At 41.0% G+C, this 23,976-nt stretch overlaps 1 protein-coding gene across 1 annotated transcript in view, besides 1 other annotated feature; it reads right to left on the reverse strand.

The window, feature by feature from the left end:
* SH3TC2 (SH3 domain and tetratricopeptide repeats 2) overlaps window positions 25–23,976 on the reverse strand; it is an 80,913-nt gene continuing 56,961 nt past the window's right edge. The window contains exon 17 of the mRNA NM_024577.4: window positions 25–22,777. Within this exon, the coding sequence (NP_078853.2) occupies window positions 22,586–22,777 (192 nt within the window). The 3' untranslated portion in view covers window positions 25–22,585. The remainder of the gene's footprint in view (window positions 22,778–23,976) is intronic.
* Window positions 1,852–3,051: an enhancer, noted in NCBI's record as "P300/CBP strongly-dependent group 1 enhancer chr5:148363540-148364739 (GRCh37/hg19 assembly coordinates)". NCBI's record gives its function as "activates an origin of replication core promoter dependent on BRD2, BRD4, P300/CBP, MED14 and CDK7 cofactors, with strong dependence on P300/CBP, by STARR-seq in HCT116 cells {active_cell/tissue: HCT116}" and the evidence as "EXISTENCE:reporter gene assay evidence [ECO:0000049][PMID:35650434]".

Here is a 23,976-nt window from a genome sequence, read left to right on the forward strand (position 1 = left end):
ATAAAAATGTCTCTGGAAACAGGATTCCAGTATTTTTTTTTTATTTCTGTAGTTTAAATTTTAAAACATTGAGATACCACCTCACAACTATTAAACACTCAAAGACAACATTAGTAACTGGCTGTGTTGGGGAGGGCCTGAGGAAAAAGGCACTCTCCGCATTGTAGGAGAATACATTGACAAGAGCATCATGAAGGGCCATTCAGCGTCTATCAAAACAACAAATGCATATGCCCTTAGTATTCTGCTATTTCACTTTTGTGGAATTTTTCCTACATATATAATCACAATCACATGAAATGACATGTGTATAAAGTTATTGATTGCAGCATTGTTTACAGTAGCACAGTATCAAAAATAACCAAATTGACACCACTAGAGAACCAGCTAAATAAACTGTTATTCCCATCATGCAAGGAGATACTTTACAGCTGTAAAAATGAATGAGGATACTGTTTGTAGAGTCATATGAAAGATTTTCCAAGATTTACATTTTGAAATAAGCAAGGTACAAAGCAGAGTGTATAGTATGCTATAATATTTAAAATGGCGGGAGAGTATGTCACTGAATTGTTTTTATACACACAAAATATCCCTGGAAGAATACACAAGAAACTAATTTTTTAAATGTGGCCTATGGTAGGGAAATGGGGGCATGCTATTCCTTGTTTAATTTTTCATTTGGGAATCATGAGAATTCATTATTTGTTCATATAGATTACTTAAAAATACTTTTAAAATAAAAAATGAGCTGTTTTAACACCAGTGGACCTTGTGAAAGATAACTTTAGGAGACTGACGCAGCAGAGGCATCATGTCTGCAAGTAGAAGATGTTGGTCTCAGGCCCAGCTCTGACATTGACATTGGCATTGACATTGATGCTGATGTCAAGGTGTTCCCTTTCCTGGGCCTCAGTGTCCCATCTATGGGATAAAGAGGGAGAACTAGCAGGTGTTTTAAATACCTCCTGCTAGTCTCACCTTCTGGGATCTAATCTGTGGCTAGGCTTTACTTAATTTGGCTTAAAGCACATGCTGTATAAAACATGTCCTGTTAAAAGCATTTTGAGTACAGTATTTTTTGTTACTTTGCTTCATTCGTTTGTTTGTTTTTCAAATTGCCACTTACCATTTTTAGTACAAATTCCTTTTGAAAAGCTCCCACTCTCTCCATCTCTCTGAAGAGGGGCACCTGGGTGTCATGAATACACCTGTGGCCTAAGATATGGTAATGGAGGGAACAGACCAGGTTCTGAGTGGATGAAAATAGCTCAAAAGGAGATAGCAAGGAGCACCAAGAAAAAATTTGCTGGGAATAGGAGCATCTTGTTAGATGCATGCTGAACCCCCGAACTCAGTTTATCCAGGTGGAGGTCCCAAGAAACCAAATGCAGCTCCCTTTTTTACAGTTCTGCATATGTGGGAGCTGAATTGCATACTGATTTCATCTTGCTGAAGTGCACATTCCCCTTCCAGTAACAGCAATCTAGCTTCCTATTTTGGGGTTTCCTTCCCCCTACCCCGCACCCCATTAGCCCCTGTCTGTGTTCTCTAGCCCTGAATTCAGATGTCCCAGACTGGTCAAATAATGGTATTCTACTTCCCTGTCACAAATGGCCATCATGTCCAGAGCTTTTGTCCAAAGTGCTAGGGAATAAGACACTCTTTTTTCTGTTCCAGTCAAACACAGGGGAGAGGGAAGATAAGATGTAAACTTCTGGTCACCACCCTGAAACTGCATGAAGCTTAGGAATGAACAGGGAAAGCACATCCAAGAGATGGTGACATCTTTGAGGTACTATCAACCTGCTCCTGGAACCAGTGTGGTTTTTAAGTCACTTGAACCAATACATTTTTTTAAAATTACTTAAGCCAGTTTGAGTTTCACCTTCTGTTTCTCAAAGTGAAAAGAACCTGCATACAACTTCTTGTACATGAATATTGATATCACTTCCCAGATTTGGGACGTTTTCAGCTATTATTTCTTTAGATAGGCTTTGTGTCCCTTTATCTCTCTCTTCTCTTTCTGAAATTGCATTATGTAAATATTAGTTCTCTTGATGGTTTCCCATAGATCCCATAGACTTCTTTTATTCTTTTTTCTTTTTGTTCCTTCGACTGGATAATTTCAAGTGTCCTGTCTTTGAGTTCACTTATTCTTTCTTCTGCTTAATTGAACCTACTGTTGAAGCTTTCTATTGAATTTTTCAGTTTATTCATTATACATTATAAATATATACAATTATTATTTATCAATTAAAAATACATTTTAAAAGGAACAAATGCCATATAAATACCAACTCCACTTGACTTATAGTGACTTCCTGAAGAACTATATTGGGAAAAACCCTGGGGCCTTGTCTGGGCTCATGACTCATGAGGAAGGTATGCAGGAAGAGGGAAAAGGTGAAAATTGAGCATTCCTTGACTAAGTCGAAACCCCTGACTCAGTCTTCTGCCTCACTCTGGACTAGGCAATGCTTCATATATCTCCAAGGTTGGTCTTTCAGGTTGGCATATAGGAAGGAATTTGTCAGCATGTATCCCTGAAGGGTAAATGTCCACATTTGCTTAGATGTTTAGTGGGTATTCCAACCCTCAAAGAGCTGTGCTTGGTGCTGTAAACAAATTTGTTCCCAGTATCTGACCTAAGAGAACTTATACTCAGAAGGAGGCATCTGCTTCCTGCTTCACCTTGAAGGTTATGTACTCCACTCACTTCTTTGACCTCAAATAATTTGTAATCTGCAAATAGTCAAAGTGAGCAATGATGCCAAAAAGCATAATGGGTTATAGAGGTACCATTTACAAAGTGTATAAAACAGGACAGGAAGTGAATCCTAGGGATGGAAGCAATGGAAGATTACTCCCATTATTTTTAATCTGGTTTTCATGGTTCCACCAACCTGGGCAAGCTAATCTGGTTAACTGAGACTCTTCTTGATAGAACTTTTATTGGTTCTGACTCCACTTGACATCCTCAGAAAACAAACACTGAATAAGAATGAGCTACTTTTCTGGAAAAAAAAAAAACTATTCACTCAAAGCACTTAAAATCAAAACACACGCAAAAATATATTACTACTCATTTGAGGGTACCCTGTTATGAAGGTATAATTTATATATAATAAAATTCATTATTTTTTAGTTACAGAGTTCTATGAGTTTTGGCAAATGCATTCAATGCCATCACTACTACAATCAAGATATAGAACAGCTCCATCACTTCAAACAATTTTCTTGTGTCTTTTTTCATCAATTCTTCCTCCAACTCACAGCACAGATCTGTTTGCTGATCCTGTAGTTTTTAAAATGCCATATGGATTATATACAGTATGTAGCATTTTAAGTCTGACTTCCTCTAATTAGCATAATGCATTTGATGTAACTCCAAGTTGTTGCATGTATTGGGTGCTCATTTCTTTTTATTACTGAGTAGTATTCCACTGTATGAATACACCATAGTTTGTTTATCCATTTCCCAGTTTGAAGACATTGGGTTGTTCCAATTTCTGGCAACTATGAATAAATCCACTCTAAACATTTGTGTATAGGCTTTTGTATACATAAGTTTTCATTTCTTTGATATAAATACCTAGGAGTAGCAATTCTGGATCACTTTGTAAGTGTATGTTTAATTTATAAGAAACTATCAAAGCATTTTCCAAAACAGCTGTTTCATTTTGCATTCCCAGCAGCAATAGCCACTTTTATTTTTCAATGTGTGGAATGTCATTTTTATATAGATTTGGCCCACTATCATATCTCCATTAGGGCTCAAAAGACTTCATGTCTGTGCTGGGAGCAAAGTAACCTATAGATACCACTCGATCATTTTTCTGACATGAGACTTACAGAGTATCATCTCTAGGGTGATTTTTGAAAAACACATAAATGCAGAATCTTGGTGTTTAAAAGGAAATTAGAACTCATTAGTTCAACTTCTTTAAGTAAGGCTGTTTTGATCCAATTATAATCAATTTTCACTCACTAAGGCCCTGCTTAATAGCCTATTTTACTGCCCGTGTGAACTTGGGTATGTTACATAACTGCCTTAAACCACAGCTTCTTCATCTCTGCAGGGTTTTTGTAAGAACAAGAGAAAAAAAATGTATCTGAAATCAGAAAGCAATTAAATATTGTGCTAATTAAAAAACAGACATTGCTAGTGACTGTTCTAAAAACCTAATAGCACAAATCATGTGATTACTAAATGTTAGAACTAAAAGAACCTTAGAGATCTTCCATTAGGTCCCAGCTCTAAATGATAGACTTAGTGAGAAAACGGAAGCCCTGGAAAGCCAAGGTAACCCCACTCACTCCCTATTACATCTCCTTGTCTTACTTTTATCATAGCACTCATTTTTCTGCTGTTTCTCTGACCCTTTGTGAGTTAAGATCTGCCAGGGTAGCAACCTCCATCAACTACATTGCTTAGAATGCAGTAAGTTCTTAATAAATGCTTGTTGAATTATCATTTTAAAAGTGAACTTCAATTAGATTATTCATACACAACAGGTTTGAGTACATGACAGATACCTTTTTTGACAAATTATTAAGCCACTTGTTAGGGTGACTTGTAGGCATCATAATAAGCCAAATCAGAGCATAAGAATTGCTCAGTCAACCAAATGTGACGAGCCTAAATCCCATTCCCATGCTGTAATCTCCCAGTCCTGTTCTGTCTTGCTCCTCCAAGGGACACGTTGTATAAACAGCATCAAGTGTTAACTTGTTAAAACAGTTACACCCAAAAAATGCTGAGATTATTTAACAATGCAATAATATGAGGTCATATCAAGAATTCCAAGGAGAGGCAGAGTTTTCAAAGACTCCAGTTCAATGCCAGGGAGCTATTGTTTCTAAAATGATTTTTGGAAAATGAAATATTAATTCCCCAGCTAATGTATTTCATGGTAGTTCATTGTGCTTAATTCTCTAATCTGAAATTCTTTATTTTAGATCCATTCCAAAATCATCTTATTAGTCTCACACTTTAGAAGAAATGTGTAAATCAAATGCTTCTAAATTTAATTTGATTTAAATTATTTTAACCACTGTAACCCCTCTGTGGGGAGAGGAGAAAAAGCACATTTTTGCCAATGGTCTTTGTTCTGAACAAAGATTGGTTCTATCTGTCACCATTGGGAATGTTCAGGAATATTCTCATTGGATTGCAAGTGCCAAGAGGACAAGAACTTTATAAGTTTTTTTCATTGATCTATTGCTACAGCCTGGGGCAGTGCCAGGCACATAGAAGGAATCTAACAACTATTTATTGAGTATGTAAGTAAACTTGAGGAGATAAGGTGTTGAAACTCTCCCAGGCCTTATTCATGAGAGATCAGGCTGAGCTTCCAGCTAACATTTCTATCCCACAGCAGACCTGCATGGTCTTTACATCTATAGTCTTGGGCATATTCCATAAGACTTCCACATATTTGGCTGGGTTTCTCACCTATAGCATTTTCAAAGAGTCTCACTATATATAAACACTGAAATAACTAAGTGCCAGGAATGACTACAGAAACAAAGGGAAACCTTATAACGAGTGTGGTGGAGTGATTCAGTGAAGATCATCAGATTAAGACTGAGAAGAACAAAGCTGTGGTCACTCTCCCACCACTTAACAAGCATGGGAAGCTCACCAAGTCATGTCCTCACTCGAGGCCTCATTCAAAATCTGTGTGTGTGTGTGTGTGTGTGTGTGTGTGTGTGTGTGTGTGTGTGTTCTTTAGATCATGAAACTTCTCATCTGAAAATCTCCACTCTGTGGCCCAGAGTAAGCTTACATAGTGAGTGCACCTAAAGGTGAGCCATCTCCACTTTGGCCACTTCTCCAGATACCCACAAGGAAGTGCCGAGAATGCTGTTGCACCTCCTCTGGCCAAGGACAGAGAGTCATATCATCTGCCCACTTGGAGACAGAGAAGGTGACTTACCTAATATTTTTCCTGCATGTCTTAAGGACAAGGCTGGGTTCTTTTGGCCTTACTGGGTAATAAAAACTCTATGCACACAGGCTAGAAGTTGAGTGGTGGAAGATTCAAGAGAACAAGCTAGATTTTATGAAAAGTGGGTAACAAAGCATCTTTACTCCTTCTCCCATGGACATGAAAATCATTATCAAAAATCCTACCCCAGATGGGAATGTTATCTGGTCTTGTAAAGCTGCCTTACTATCTAGTCCCCAAGATAGCCCCAAGTGAACCAGGCTTCCCAGTGCTCATGCCATTGAGTAATCCCCTCCTATACCAGCTCTAGGCTGGCTTTGTATAACCAATAAAATATAGCAGATGTGACACTGTGTGACTTCTGAGGCCAGGTCATAGGAAGCTTTGCAGCTCCCCGTTTAATCTCCTGGAATGCTAGCTCTTGGAATGCACTCTCTTGGAACCAGCCACCATGCTGTAAGACGGCCAAGCCACATGGAGTCGACATGGCTCACGGCTCCAGTTGATCACAGCCCCAGCTGAGCTCCCAACCAACTGCAAGCATCAACTGTTAGCCCCGTGAGGAAGCCATCTTCGATGCCCAGCCCAGAGGAGCCTTTGATGACTCCAGCTCTGGCCACTATTGGACTGCAACAACAGTAGAGAACCCAAGCGAGAATTGCCCGGGTGAGCCCAGTCAATCCATCAGACCAACAGATGATGATAAGCTGTTTTAAATCAGAAACTTTTGGGGTGGTTTGTTATGTCACTTGTTCCACCTCATGGTTCAAAAACACGATCCCCATAACTTTAATGTTTAAGGGTTATCACTTTGCTTTCTTCTTTGGATTTGAGATGTCATTTGCAAGCAACCTTCTCTCTCACTCAAAATGTTTCCCTTATCTGGTCTAGTTGTGCCCTACTGAGCCCAGACATGAAGGAAATAAAAAAACAACCACCAACCACACACTCATATAACACACACAACACACACAAAACAATGTCTTGGATTGTGGAAGAATTTGCTATTGTCATTGTTTTTTAACGTATTTTCTTTATATTTCCTTGAGTTCCTTTTGGAGTCATTGAATTCCCTTTTTGAGTCTTTTTTCCAAGATTACAGGCTCAAGTCATGGGTTTTAAAAATAGCCATAATCTATTAACGACCTATTACATTCCAGCCACCATGCTAACTGCTTTAGACATATTAATTCATTAATTTTACAATAACTTTGCTATATAGGTATTTATTATCCCCATTTTACAGTTGAAAGAGCCATAGCTCAGAAAGATAAAGTGATTTGTTAATGCTACACAGATACTAAGCACTTTGAGACAAGATTTGAACCTAGGTCTACCTTAACCAGCATAAATATGGCTGAGGAATATCTGAATTCATTCACATCCAGAAATCACATTGTAGTTGTTGAATCCTTTGGCAGGAGCTATACCTTGGTCAGCAGAACTGTGTACCTTGGAAAATCACTCTGAAGGAAGGACTTACATGTGAGTTTTGGGGATTGCAAAGTGTTGACATTTTCAGACCACCTATGTATATTGCTGCAGATGTTGGTACAATTCTGTATTGTCCGGTTTGCACTGATAATAAAACAGTCTGATAAAATCTTATGCCATTCTTCCAGAACATGAATACTGGAACCACTCATTCAAGGGGATCTGGAGAGTGACCCAGGATAGAGTGAGTCACAGGGACCCAAGAGCTTCAACAATCTGGTATTCAGAAGCAGCTGGAATGAACGGAGAGAGAAGAACTATATAGCAACCAGGACATTTGGGAAATGTCCCTATGAATCAATCCACCTGCACTGGGGAAAAATGAGATACATAACAGAAAAGAATGAGTTCTTGGGGTGTGGGGATACACAAGTGTGTGCATGTTTGTGTGTATGTGTGTGTGTTTGATGGGGTGGGGGCTGCTTCTTTTCTAGGAGTCATTTCCAAGCAACCTCTCCTCTCACTCAAAATATAGCTCCCTTAAGCCAGTTTTCCCTGCTTTCTCTCATGGGTGAACCATCCTGGGGAAACTGAGATAGCCCCAAAGTAGGTTTCATGATGGTATGCTCTGGGTGCGCTAGGCTACTCTGTTTTGTTCTTTCTCTGATTTATTCCTGTCTCTGCTTGCACTTGCAGTTCCTTTCTCCTACTAGGACATTGGTCATTTAAAATATATTCATAGTAAGATGACAAACTGTTCCTCTTTAGAAGTACAGATATATGCCTCTCTGAGCCTTAGTTTCCTTAGTTTGCTGTAAATGTTCACACCTCCCATCATAAGCAAGCTGGCCTTTGTCAACAAACACACATACCCACACAATGTTGTGCTGCCAAGTGGTTCACAGGAGAGGATTTGAGGGGAAGACCAGGTTAACCTAAAGACAACCATGCTGATGAAGCCAAGTCAGGAGCAAAAGGAGATCAGAGCAGCTTGGTGGCGAACAGCATGGGCCCTTGGACCAGATCAATTGAATGCAAATTCTGCCCCTGCTACTCACAAGCTATTGGACCTCAAACAAGTTACTGAACTTCTCCAAGACCTTGTTTCCTCACCTATAAAATGGGCATGTTAATAATACCACCCTTGAGGTTGTTGTGAACACAGAAAATGAAATCATGCATTCAAAGAATTTAATCCAATGCTTTATACACCATAAATGCTCAGTAAACATTAGCTGTGTTATTTATTATAGAGTATACAGGATACAAAATATAATAGCAATTATATATTAAATATTTGCAATAAGCAAGGCCCTGAGTTAAGTATTCTAAGTACATTATCTCTTTTAATTTTCACAGCAATTCTATAAGGCAAGTTCTGGGATAACCCATTTGACAGGTGAGAAAACTGAGACCCAGAGAGGTTAAGTCATGTCTCCAAGGTCCCAAAGCTATCTGACTCCAAGCCCTGAGGTCCCAGCCAAGTTCACAAACTTCATTTCCCAAAACCCAGAATTAGATCACTTGTTGAACATCTGTTGACACTTTCCAGGGGACTTTCAAAACCCCAATCCCTCAGAAGCCCCAAAACGTTTAATATGACCCTTTAAAACACCAGGAACATTCACAGCAAAAGACCAATAACTACACATGGGGTAGAAATTAACATATGTAGAGGACTTTTTCTTCTCTATACAAAAGCTTTTACCCATATACCACATTGGATGTGAGAGTGAATATACTGCAAGAATGTACTTCCTGCAGCTGAAACCAGCAGGGCAAAGAAGGTGCTTTCACTAGGGTAATGTGTACCCCTTGCTGTGCTCTGAAGAAGAGGGTCAATTTCTTTGTGGGGAGTAGCAACACAAACCATCCAGCCAGCAATTAAATCTACAGTTCCCTCAACAACAAAGCTAACTTTAGCCATATGGGCTCATCCTGTATTTCCCAGGACCCAGGAGTCTTTGGAAGTTTCTTGAGTGGGCTTCCACCTTAGCTTTTGCTTTCTGTCAGATAATACAGTGGTTATATCTGAAGGGTTTCCCCCAGGAGCTCCAGTTCTTTTAGTGGTAGTAACATCAAGTAGTCTCCAGACATTGCAGCTGGGTGGTTGAAATGCTTGCTCTGGGAGGGGTGGCCAGTCAGCTGGGGTCACAAAAGCCTTGTAATTAGAATCAGTGTGACTAATTTCCAGGTAGAATGAGAGGCTCTTGCAAACTGCTTTTGTAGAAATTATACTCACTGGTGTCCAACCTGCCCTGAATCACTCTATACTCACAACAGAAACAGCTGGTGTCAGAGAACTCTACAAATATGGCAGATCATCACATGGGACTTTATCCATGGAGGTGAGCCTCCTCTTGCACTGGAAGCTGGTATGCTGATGATGTCATGGTGGCTCAACTTTCCTGGTGTCTAAGGGGAGTGTCAGAGAGCAACCCTAACATGTGTTGGGTGACCATGGGTAAGGCTTTCCCTTTTCTGGTTCACTTTTCATATAATAACAACAGAGCTGAGCTAGAGGGTCTCCAAAGCCCACCAGCTGCCACTTTGTATGACATAAAATTATCAGAACATGAATTCAATCACTAGGTAATAAGAGGTAACAATTGAACATTTAGCTGTTTCATCCAACAGCCCTATGAAGTTGATATCATTAATACTTCCATATTACAGATGCAGAAATGGAGGCCCAGAATGGTTAAGTGCCTTGCCCAAGGTCATGCACACAGTGGGGATTTTTACCCAGGTAGCATAATCCCAAGGTTTATGCTCTTAACCATTCATAATATTAATGAAAACACTAAGAAACCAACAATGCATACAAAGGGTTCCAGATCCTGCTTTTCTGGATGTCTCCATTTTTATCCATAAGCAGTATGTATGTCAGTTCTCAGGCATCACCTGGAGGATACATATATAACACCTACCTAAGCCCTAGCATGTCAACCCTGGACAGGTCCTGACAGATTACCGAGACTGAGGTTTTTAACTCATCATCCTTGGGCGTGCATTAAAGGGTCCATGAGGCCTTTGAAAGTATGTGTATGGGTGTGTATACATAATTCCAAGAAGAGATTTCATTGGTTTTTTTTTTTTTTTTTTTTTTCAGATTTTCGAAGGGGTCTATGAACTTTTAGGGCAATCTTTTGACAGTTGGTAAAACTGAGACCTCAGGTGGGAGATGGACTTGTCCCAGTATACACAAGGAGTGACAGAACTAGGTTCAGACCCCAGATCACCTGACCCCAATCCCACTGCTCTTTAACTACATCACACTGAGCTAACTCATCCCTGCAACATGCACCAAGAGTCTTCCAGGATTAAACTGCTGGGTATAACATGCACAGCTCATAGGGTTTGGGTATGGCTTGGAAAATCATCATGCTTCACATATATCATTGACTTTAACTTTGGTCCTCTGTATCTCATCATTTCCTTGAAGTTTGTATCATTGATAGTTACCTCTGATCTGCCACTCTGCCCATCTTCTGTGAATGAAAACTTAGCCCACAGCGTTTCATTTAGATCTGGTCTGGGCTGCCTTTACCTGGCCTCACTCCTGGCTTCCATAGACGCTTAAGGTGATTAGGCATTTGTCCCTCACCGTTTCGATTGAAATAATCAGTTCAAAATAAAACTGACAACAGCTAACCTACACAAAGAATGTGTTAATGAGCAAACATTCACAGGGGAATCAAATTATCCCAATAAAATTCAAATCAATCAAATTTAAACCAGGAAAATTTGACTTAGTAGAAATAAAACTACGATGGAAAATTCAGTGGCAGAAGCTAAAATTTGACCTAAATAAATTATTGTCAATAAATTATAAGCCATCATTGTAAAATTCCAAATGCAAAAGAATTCATCTCCATAAAATGATTTTGATAAAATAGAAGATGGAAAAAGGTAGAAATTGTTTAACTGCTCTGTATTGAACATTTATCTTGGAGTAAAAATGATTGAGTAAGCATTAATTAAGAAAATACTTTCTTGATAAAAATTCAGCCATTATTGGTGTTTTTAATGTTGTAGTTATAAGCATGGAGTCAAAACACCCTCAGCAATATATCACGGAGGTCAAAACGTCTGCCAGACTAAACATAGGTTCAAAATGACAGTTCCAATAAAGGGAGGTCACAACTTCCTGTGACTGTGCTTGGTAAGTGATGGAGGCAATCATTTACAGATGATGCTCTGACAAGGGAGGCAGACTGAGACCATCACTGTCACATGCTCACTTGAATAGCCAAGCATCTAGCCCAGATTACATTCCTCTAAGCATGCCTTAACCCCACAGGTTCAACAAAGAAGTGTTCATTAACTTCTTCGCCCAAACAAGTACTCTTCTGAAATGTCTGTCAACACAATAACAATAATAGCCAACACTTATATAACATGGGCCAGGCACTTTACATATATTCACACATTTGATCCACACAACAATCCCATGAGATAAGTACTATTATCATCTCCATTTGCCAATGATAAACATGAAGCACCAAGAGCTTAACAACTTGCCTGAGGTCACACATTTCATAAGCAGTGGAGCTGTTCAGTCTACTACCATGCATCCCAGACAGGATGTTCAGGTGAACAAGATCTATCTAGCTTAAGTTCCATAAAATTTATCAAAATTTCAGCTGAGGTTTTATGCAATACTTGCAATATAGATAAGGCTTGGACTGGTGTCCTGAAGCTGCCACTCTCTATCTACAGGACTTTGGGTAAGATTAATCTCTTAACCTCTTTGAACTCATTTCTTCACATGTGTTATGTGAATAACTATACAATGCAATTACTTCTTGCAGGTAGGAGAAATTAAGAGAAGTCAATGATATAATAAGAGTATAACCTTTAGTACAGTGTTTGAGGTAAAAGTGCTCAAATCTAAGCTGTGATGGTAAGAATAATAGGTAAGTTTATCAGAGGACTCTGACTTGCCCTGGAGCCCATAGGACTTATGAAGACAGGGACTGTCATTATCTTGCTCACTGGATTGTGAGTTTAGCACATGAGAGGTGTTGAATATTGGTTAGTTGGTTGTTTCATTGGTTGGGTATGTGGGTGGTTGGGTGGTTAGATGGTTGGTTGGTTGGTTGGTTGGTTGGTTGGTTGGTTGGTTGGTTGGTTGGTTGGTTGGTTAATTGGCTGGTTGGATAAATGAATGGATGGATGGAAGGATGGATGGATGGATGGATGGATGGATGGATGGATGGATGAATAGATGGATGAATAGATGGATGAATAGATGGATAACCGTCTGCATCCTCTGTCCCAAAGGAGCTAAACTCAGACTTTTCTTCCTAGTCCTTTGCATATATGCATCCAATCTCCCCCAAACAGACTGACAGATACTCAAGGGCAAGGATGAGGTTTTTATCCACATCCCACAATACCATGAACTTATGATTTCCCAAGGAAAGAGACTTGGGATTATGAAACAATACTCTGGACCACTCAGGCCTCAAAATACCTTAAAGGTACTGCCTATCCCCTGGATCTTTATTCCATAGAACATTCATCACTGAAGGGATTTCCTGTGGTATTTGGTGCAATAAGGCTTATATAAGCCAAGGTCCCTGCTCCCTAGATTTTCTATCATCCCTCCTCCTTAAGACAAAGGGAAACATTCAAATGTTCAAAAGAGAAATATTTATCTTGAAGATCCTAAGTTCTGAAAGAGAAAACGTGTATCAGAATTACATAATTATATAAAGCACTGATTTTCCAGGTCAGACAAAAGTGATTTTGAATCTCTGCAAACATCTGAAATACTTTAAACCTTGATTCTATCACCTGAAAAGGGGAGATAAGGTCACCTTCTTTGGAGGATCATTTGGAGGATCAAATCCTATACTGTGGGTAAATTACTTAGCACAACCATCATTACAGCTTCAGTAAAAGACCATGATTATCCCTGGTCAAACTACTATCTGTTTGAAAATTAAGAAAAGACCTACCACAGCTATAGCAACTTATTCTAAACAAACAAAAATTATGCTTATTATTCTCAATAAACTTTTGCTGAATACCTGCTATATATGTGAGCAGCCCTATCACCTGATTTCTCAATCACTCATGAGCAATAAGTAGTTATATTATAGTTTTAAAACTTTCTCCCTGAAGGTCAAAACCCAAGTCCAACATTTCATTCCTTTATTTTTTTATTCACCCATTCAACAAATCTTTATTGAGAGCCTGCCATGCATCAGACACTGGGCTGGGCTCCAGAAATACAGAGCTGAGTGACCCAAATAAGATTCCTGTTTTCATGGAACTTCTAATCTAGGTGGTGCACATGGATTATTAAAATAAAAAAACTCACATAAAGTACACTTTTAAACTATGATAAGTGCTTTGAAGGAAAAGTACAGGGACAAATGAGCACAAGCAAAAGGGAGATGCTAAGGACATGAGGAAAAAGAAAAAAGAGACCAACTGGCCGGGTGCCATGGCTCACACCTGTTACCCCAGCACTTTGGAAGGCTGAGGTGGGTGGATGATTTGAGCCCAGGAGTTTGAGACTAGCATGGGCAACATGGTGGAAACCCATCTCTACAAAAACTACCAAAAAAAAAAAAAATTAGCTGGGAGTGGTTGTACATGCCTGTAGTCCCAGCTACTCGGGAGGCTGAAGTGGGAGGATCACCCAAGCACCTGAGTCTAGAAGGTCGAGGTAGCAGTGAACCATGGCCACCCCACTGCACTCCAGCCTGGGCAACAGAGTGAGACCCTGCCTAAATAAGAGAGAAAGAGAGAGAGAGAGAGAAACAGACAGATGGACTTTATACAACTTGGAAAGAAAGAAAAGAATGCCACAGGACTTGGAAGAGGATCAGAATATCAGTTTATATAAGCTCTTAGGACTGTAAAACAACCGGAAATGAAAATCCTCCAAGTAATCTTTCTGTTTGCTATCCTTTCCCTCCACCCACTACAGCCCCAAAGCTACATGTTCTAGAACAGACAAAAGTTAGTTTTGTTTTGTTTTATGAATAAGTAGCTTTTTGGTCACCAGGATTACCACGCAGCTGTTATTTCAGCCTAGCCCGTGGCAGCTCCCCTGAGGAGGAAAGCAGATGTAGCCATTGTCACTGCTTGCTGTCTGGTACAATGTTCAAAGAATTCAGGGGCATTCCTATGAATGTCTCTATGAAGTAGATGTCAGATATATCCCCAGATGAACAAACATCAGAAGTTCTCTATGTGCAAGAAAGTTCAATAACCAAAAAAGTCACCTTCACACATATTTGGCCCGTGCAAGGAAGATCAAGTAGCTGAGAGTCATACAGATCATGTTTAACTATGGTCCGCTAGATTTGGAAGGTTAAAATAAAAGACAGAAGCGAGGTATCTATTTTCAAAATCCTTTTCATAGATAACAGTAAAATGTGTGACCCTAAATAAAAATACAGTAAAATGGAAGGTTAGGGAAGTAGATAATTAAGCATTCCTGAATACTAAGTGAGTAAAAAAAGTGCTACTACCAACATTTATGCATAAGAAACAAAGCATCTGTACATGAACATGGGCTCTTCCCAGGCTATTTGTTTTGCAACACATATTTGGATGAGAAGGATGTTCCTAATAGCTTTTTCCATGATGTCAAAAGTAGGCTATTCTCTCATGTTCATGATCTTCCTTCTGCTACCACCATTGGAGCTACGGGTACTATGATGGGTGAGACCCACGAAACTCCACCTGGCTGCTTCCCTTCCTCAGATGTCCATAGTCTTCTACGATTGGCTCTGGAGTCTCTTGCAAGTTTCCCTCATTCACCTCACTCCCAACCTGGAATCTTCTTCAAAACATAACTTACTGATCTTATAATTTGTTTTGACCAATCACTACTATAGGTCAAAGCTTTCTGTTCCTCCTTCTATTTTCCATTTGGGAAATGCAGTCTCTCTTTTTTTCTAGGCTAAGTTACCTGACTGTGGTCAACAATAACACCAGTATTTCTTTTTCAAGACCTCCTGGAAAGTCAGTTCTCTCCAATCCTGTTCTAAAGTAACCAATTTTGATTGATTCAATTACACCAGAATGATTGTGTTGATTTCAGCCCAGTATTTCAGGCTGATGAAACAAGTTTTAATCTAATGCTTCTATTCATGATCATATTAGTGATAGCATTTCTCTCAGAGATGTGTCACCTGACAGAAACACAATATAATATAATGGTTTCATTTCCTAGCTCCAGCATCAGAGGACATGACTTCAAATTTCACCTCGATCACCACTAACTGTGGACTTAGACAAGCCACATCAATTCTCTAAACCTCAGTGGAGATAAAAATAATAGTAACTACACCAAAATGTTGTGTGATTACATGAGAGTCATCACAAAGGTTTTGCATGAGACTTAATGCATAAAACACATTAACCTCAACTGTTATTTTTATTTTGAGATGTACACACTCTCTGGTCTCAAAAAGAAGTAAGATATCCATCAAATAATACATAGAAAAGAACAAAGGCTGGAGCCCTCCTGCACTTTTTTAGAGACCACCCTCCAGGTCAGCACTTTTCAAACTACAGGTTAATGAGTGAGAAATTCATTTGGTGAGTCATAAATTTGATATTTTTTAACTAGAATAGAATGTTTTTAAAAATGAATAGAACAAAACAGAATGTATGAGTGCATTTCTCTATGTTGTTGCATATGCACAAACATATGCACACGAGGATAAACCATAAAATGCATTTCTTACTGTGGGCCACAACAACAACAACATAACAACAAAAAAGGATTTGACAGCCACTACCCTAGTCTGATTCAGAACTATTAATATTAAATACGTTCTTTACCAATGATACACTATTTAGGAAGACATCACTGCCCCCTACTGGAACTCTTGGATTTCTCACAGAAAAGGACAGCAATGGATTAGCCTGTCTTCTCATTAGCCATGTGACTTCAACCATCCTCTCACCTACCCTGTCTGGAAGTTCATCTCAAAGAGCCTCATCCCTCAAGCTAGTGTGATGCCCTGGATAAGGAGTCAAAGGCAGCACTAGAAGTGGCAGCTGGGTTCTCACCTTTGAAATCGTTTTGAAAGCACAGCATCCTTCCCTCTCACCTGCCTCGCAGTCTGTACTGGGAAGCCAAGCCAAGCAGCCCCACTGTGCAGTCCTGGCCACGCAAGTTATTCTTGATCCTGCACCATGGCAGCTGGGGAGAATCCCCACCCCCTAAGCAGTCACTTGTCTCTGCTTCTCTGGGGAGAAGACACCCCTTAGAGGAGGGTGAACGAAGTGCACATTCCCAGAGCCAGCACTTCCAGCAGCCTCCATCCTCAAGTCCCCTGAGTTCTGGAATAATCAGACAGAGTTGGGAGAGTGAGGGGGTACATATCAGGAAATATATGCTGTCCCACCGAAGAGGGAAGACCGCCAAGTGAGAGGCCCAGTAGCAAAGAGCACCCCTAACATACACACCCTCCCGCTTAACGGTGTGGGACCCAGGAATAGATGTGCTTATTAAGAATCTACTCAGTTCTGCTTCATTGTGACAGCTACCACCAATTGACATTCATACCAAGCCATCCATACATCTCGTCTCAATTAAAAGTCTGAGCAGAGGAATAATTGAAGCTTAAAGAGGTAAAGTAAGTTGCTCAGGTCACTCAGTGATGAAAAGGAGAAAGAGCTTCAGACCCAAGTGTCCCTGAATGCAGGACCAGGGTGCCTGGCCACACCTCCAGGTTTGGCTGCACTTCTCAATGTCAAGGCTTACATGCCTCCAAAGATGGATTTCCTTTTTAGCCATTTCCTTGTCTATGACATAAGTAAGTCTGATATAATTCTGACAGCCCTGGGCTCAGGGAAGTTAATTAATTTGCAGAAGGTCACACAGCTAGTAAGAAACAGATTCTAACCTAAGTATGCCCAACTCCAAAACACATTACATTGCCCCCACCTGAGCTGCCACCTGAGTGAGTGCAGAGCCCATTCCCTTGAATTTCTTCCTTCTTTGCCGCTTGTCCACACATCTCAATGGGAGCAATTAAAAGAGGAAAAGAGACCAAAACTGACAAGGTCATGAAAAACAAGGAAAGGCAGAAACCGTCATAGACCAGAGATGCATAGGGAAATATGGCAACTAAATCCAATGTGGGATCAGAAGAACATTAGTGGGGAAAACTGTTGATATCTGAATCAAGGCTGGAGTGTTGTGTTGCAATCGCCAAGTCCTAATGTGTTTTCTACCTTCTCCACTGCTGCCCTAATCTAGTCTCATGCTGCTTCTAGAATCATCTTTCCAAAGCACAAATCTGACCATGTTTCTTTCAACTGCTTATAATCCTTCTATACCTTCCCCTCAACCTCCAGGTAGAATCCAAACCCTCTTTGCTTCCCTGAATCTGCTCCAGCCTCACTGCACTCAGAGTGACCTGTTCTCAGAAAACATCACCCCCTGTCCACCCTCTGGACCTTTGCTTGACACATGCACTGTCTGTCAATACCAACCTGCTGGTCTGCAGTTAGAATTAAGTAAGTGTCCCTTTCAGAACTCAGTTTGGATATCACGTCCTCCAGAAAGCCCTTCCTGATGCCCGTAACCCTGTCTGGGTAAAATCCCTTCCCCGCAGTGCCTGTAACATCCTGTAACTAACACCAATCACAATGCTTCTGATACTGAATCATATTACATAATATATCATTTGCCCCTTTCCTGTCACCCAGCTGAATCCCCACTTCCCTGAAATGTGTGCCCAAACCTGGCATTGAATGACACTGACCCTCCTCAGAAGGAGCTCAGTCCTCTTCCCTGCTTACTCCATTTCTCTGAGTGTGCAAGGAAAAAGTGGTTGTTGCTAGTCTGTCATCTACACTCTCTGCCACTTATTAATCTCTCTGTTTTCAAACAATGCCAGATAAGGCCTAGGCTGGGTGCTTGCAATGAGCAACAGGACCTAGCTTGAAGTTAATGCATTATTTTATTTTCATTGTATTTGCCATTATTTACATAATTCTGTTTATGGAAAACAATACAAGTTTTTCTTCTATATAGACTAGTCATCCCTTATAAAAATAAGTTAATATGAGTAAAAGAAGTAAATCAATTTAGAAAATGTTTTGTAAAGGCTCTTTGGTGCATATCGTGATAAATGCATGCATACATACACACACGTGTACATATACACACACAACTGTGAAGGAAGCCCTGAACAGCAGAAATCCTGTCATTTGTGCAACTAAGTCCTTGAGTCATGAGACCCCCGCCTCAAGTACCACTGTCTTTGCCACTAACTACCAATGTGTCTGGGAGAAAGTTACCCTTCTGTTCCTCAGTTTACTCACCTGTAAAAAGAAGATAATATAATTGAGCTATAAAAATATATTATTTCATCTCTCCAATACTATTTCTCATCCTATTCATACAGTATAAAAATAGCACTGCTGAAAAACCCAGAGGTGAGGTTCTTTTATCAGAGGACAAATATCTGAGATGTGTAGAGGTTAAGTGACTTGCCCAAGGTCGCACTGCAATTTAATATCAAAATCAAGACCAAAATACAGGTTCCCTTTAGTGATAGGCTTCCTGATCCCTCATCCTAACACCCTCCATTCCTGCATATTCCCTTCCCCAAATAAACTTCTGCCAAATGAGGTGCATTATATTTACAAAGAGGAAGAAAATGAACACACACACACACACATACATATATATACACATGCACAATATAAAGGCATCTTAAAATAATGGAAAAGCAAATAAGAAAAGGACAAAAGCAATATTGGATTTCAGAATGTTAATACTGTTGGACAGGGAACTAGTATACCTGAAAGCTGAGAAAACATGTTACAGGGTTTTCCACAATGTTGCAATGCCCTTCTTGTTCTTTATTTAGATTAGATGTAAGGAGCCAGCAGTCACACAGCCCATATAAGATTTGAGGGAACAATTAGAATAAAGAGGGTAACTAGATCATGTTTGGCTATGATACACTTATTTTTTTAAATGTTTAAGTAGAGACCAAATCCAATCACCACTTTACTCTCTGTGGATCATGAAAAAAAGACAGCATCAACATGTTTCCAAAGGGAATAGCTGGCCCACATTTCAAAAATGAAAATTTTAAACACTTTTTAAAAGAGTTTTAGCAAGCGGTTTACATATAGAATGTAGTAATTGCAATTATATAGCACAATGTTTTTCTTATTTTAAAAAAATAGTCTTACCCTTGTCTTTGGAAACATGCTAAACATTTTTATAACTGACCTGGTTATGGGTAAATTCATCAGATTTATAGGTAAATCAAAGTGCACAGAATTGGGAAATTTTAGCTAAAATTTCCAAGGAGATGTAACATGGATAGAAACAACGCTCTTCACGTATGTGTGTGTATGTGTATGCATATGCAAATGCATGTGCATATTTGCAGCAATTGAGAAAGATCTGTCCAAACAGAAGTTCAAGTCAGAAGACACAGAAGTTTCAACTGATTATAAAGCTCAATGGAAGCCAAGGACAGATGTGGCTGCTGGGGAGAGGAAGAATCAAATTAAGTATAGTAACATCCCTCTGTACTCTTCACCCACCGGCCAATATCAAAAGCCTCATGCAGTTGTGGGAACTGCTCTTTCAGAGAAACAGAAACAAATCTGGCCAGAGGAGAGTGAGTGGTCAGTGGGAAAAGGGAGGGGATCTGTAACCTGAGTCAGATGGGGAATGGCCAGTGGCATGGTTTCCAGGGCTGTGTGAGCCTTCTTCAAATACACGATATGTAACTGTTCTGGAATGTGTGTGCCCCTGACTGTCTCCCAGGAATGTTGTTGAAAGGACTATGCACGGGAGATTAGACTGAATAGCCTCAACCGCAACGTCCCTCCCAGCTTGGGGCTTTTACAGCTTGTGGTGGGGGCAAAACCACATCTATTCTCCATGGTAGTAGATTAGATAACTTTACTAATTAGACAACTGGAAGCTTCTCCTTCCTGGAGAATACTCTCTAGAGTAGACAGCCTTTTGACAACCAACCACATCTCTAAGAGAAAATGTGTGCCAATTAGTAGACAACCTTGATGACTAGAAGATGCAATGGCGGCTCAACTCACCACTCCCATCTCACCCTTTCATACAACCAATCATCTGGTCAGCCCAAGAAGCTAGAAATTAAGGGCAGATGGTCTGATAATAAAAGCTAAGCTGATGGGCATCAGATGCAGGGAATTATGGCTGGTATCCTTGTGGTTCACAGAAAAGGAGCAAGGGTGAACCACCTGCATCAGGCTTGCTTGAGTTGCTTTCTAAAAATGCATGTTCCTGGGATACATCCCAGATCTACTGAATCAGAATTATTAGAGATAGAAACCAAGAAGTTCATGTTCCACAACCTCACCAGGTAATAGTTATGCACACTATCTGAGGGCTCTTGCCCTGCAGTGGTGCTTCCCATACTTTAGGGTGCATTAAAATCACCAGGAAAGCTTGGACGAGTCAGCGTTCTGGGATCCAGAGATTCTGATTCAGAGATCATAGGTGGGGCCACAGATTTTCATTTCAAACAATCTCACAGGTGATGCTGATGCTGCTGGTTAGTGGACCATATTTTCAGTTTGCTGAAATTAGAGAATTCCCAATTTCATTATCAAAGAACTCAGATACTGTGGTAGGTCACTTCTGAAATGATCCCCAATGATTCCTCACCATCTGGTATTCAAGCTGTTGGTAAACACTCCCCTCTTGTGGGAGCTAGACCTAGTGACTCATTTATTATGAATTGAATAGGCAAGACTAAGGAGATGTCACTTCTGTGATCAGGTTATAGAAAGAGTCACTCCCTTTTCTCCTGCTCACTCTGGTTCTTGCTCCTCTTGTTTGCTCCCTCTAGTGAAGCATGGTGCCATGTTGTGACTGCCCTGTGGAGAGGCCCACGTGGCAAGTGGCTGCAGGAAGCCTCTGGCCAACAGCTAGCAAAAAACTGACTCCTAACAACAGCTGTGTGGGTGAGCTTGGAAGCCCATCCTTCTCTAGTTGAAGTTGAGATAACTGCAGCCCCAGCTGATTGCAGCCTGTGAACCACCCTAAGCTGGTGGGCTCAGCTAAGTCATGCTTGGATTCCTGCCCTTCAGAAACCATGAGATTATAAGTGTTTTAGGCCACTCAGTGTGCTATGCAGTGATGTTATTAATAGAGATGCTTTGTAAAGCAGCTGCCCTGAAATCAATAAGATGCCTTGTAGTTGGGTATGGCACATGCCTGTAGTTCCAGCTACTCAGGAGGTTGACACTGGAGGATCACTTGAGCCCCGGAGTCTGAGGTCGCAGGAAGCCCTGACTGTACCACTGAACTCCAGCCTGGGCAACAGAGGAGAAACTGTCTCAAAAAAAAAAAAAAAAAAAAAAGACATGTATTGGTATTCTCTCCCATCCATCAAGTCCTCCATCTCATCTGCCCCCATTGTGGATGAGACAAAATGTGTGTGTAAATGTAACTGGACAATATTTAATCATATACACTATTTACATGTAATTTATGTCATAATTTTCTTAACATTCAATTTCCAAGCCTTTGCTCTTGGAAAGCTTCCCTGGAGCTTCTGGGAGGTTATGTGGGAGCACAGCCTTATGGCAGGAGGAAGATGGTGAATCCAAGTCAGGTTTCGTGCAATCCATCTGGCCATTCTGAGGCTGTGTCTTTTGAGCTAAGATCCTGGTGAATTCTCTCCTGTCAATCCCTGTGAGCATGAGGAGTGATACATACTTTGGTTCTGAAGAAAGAAATGGAAAAAACTACAGGTTCCTCTGCTGGCAAGGGGAAGGGGTCTTTCCCTGAGAAAATCGGTGAAGAGCACAAATTCCAATCTGCTTGCCTTTGCACCAGTGCAGTGACTGATTTCCTCATTGGGGGAGGAAGGAAGGCTCCTGGAGGGCAAGATCCCTCATCTTCTCCAGAATTATGTATGGAGAAAGTGCTTTTCAGAGGCTGTTTGTGTGGAAGGCAACAGTCAACCGGTAAAGGCTCCAGATGCAAAGCCTGGAACCAGGAATTCTCATCGCTGCACCATCAAATCTTTCTGTGGCCTGCAATGAGCCCTTCTCCTCCTGGACTTCATTCTTCTTCTTGTGAAATGAGGGGGCTAGGCCAGGTAAGGACTCGGACCCTCCCAATGAGTATTTAAGAGCCTAGGGCAGTGGGGTCAGAGTCTGGCCATGCCAAATGTCCAGAGACAGGACAGCTTTCCTCAGAGGGCCAGGCCACCACCACTCAGCCACCGCGCCCTCTCTGAGGAGCACCCGGAGGGCCTGCTGTGCCACAGGGGGCTCTGGCAGATGTTGTCCAGCCTGCTCCTAATGGTGTCCTGAAGCTCCTCATCACCCAGCAGGACCGCTGCTGCCAGGGCCAGAAGGAAGTACTCAGTGGCATCATGGGCATCCTAACCCCGTGGTATGGGGGCAAAGAAGAGACAGCATTAGCAAACACTTCCAGGACAGGCTAGGAGGCTGTGCTGGCCACTCTAGTTTTTTTTGTTTGTTTGTTTGTTTGTTTGTTTGCCCAACATCCAATCCCCATCTCCTGAGTCCTTAGGGAGCCCCTCTCTCCCTCCACTGTGGTCCTTGGGACATTGCTAATCACAGTGCCCTGCACTCCAGGCACAGAGGTGGTCCCTTACTGAGGCTCAGCCAATCATGAAACATCATTGCCCTGGGCACAGTGCTTCAGGGATGTGTACATGACCCAAACTTGGCCTACATCTGCCACTCCCTGGGACTTTCCACTGTGTCTCAATAAGGAAAATAGTCCCTCTGAAGTGGCAGGTTCAGAGGTGGACTTGAACCTGCCAGTAGCTAGAAGGGGAAAAGGCCAAGAAACAAAGCAAAGTAGAAACATACAGAGTCAAGGAATACAATGAGAGGTGGGGAAATCCCTGATGATGATTGAGAAACAGGATCCAGAGCTATCTGCAGTTAAATTTGTAGCTCAGCCTTCACATTCTTTGAGCCAGTAAGTTGCCTTTTTTGCTTAAGGAAGTTTGAACTGAGTTTTTCCCTTTACAATCCGTGGAGTTCTTGGTTGACATGATCAGATCACACACTTTGTCCCTGAACCACTTACTGGGAGCTATGGGGCAGAGGCAAGATGGCTAGAGGGTGCTTCACTACCCCCGGCCCTCCCTACATGGTAAAGATGAGAAACAGATGCTTCTTTGGGTGAGACTCAAAAAGGCTGCCTGGTTTCCATTAACCCTCATAAGTCAGTAATTAATTCAGGCCAGAAGCAAAGCCTGGCAAATAAGAAAAGGACAGCAGAGCTGCCCTGAGGGTTCCCTGGGGGCCAAACACAGGAGTGACTCAGAAGCCACTATATTAAGAGATTAAGGGTTGTGCTTCAGGGGACAGGGACCTCTAGTAAAAGGAAGCCAATCCTAGGGACACAGTTTGGGGGTCAGGGTTGTAACAGAGATTTGCAACCAACACAACTCTAGAAGTCACCAAAATAATAAGAAGTTCTGGGGTGGGCATAATGGCCTACTACACCTGTAATCCCACCATTTTGGGAGGCCAAGATTGGCAGATTGCTTGAGTCCAGCAGTTCGAGACAGGCAACATGATGAAACCCCATCTTTACAAAAAA

The sequence above is a fragment of the Homo sapiens genome, chromosome 5, assembly GCF_000001405.40.
Source record: "Homo sapiens chromosome 5, GRCh38.p14 Primary Assembly".
Classification (NCBI taxonomy): domain Eukaryota; kingdom Metazoa; phylum Chordata; class Mammalia; order Primates; family Hominidae; genus Homo; species Homo sapiens.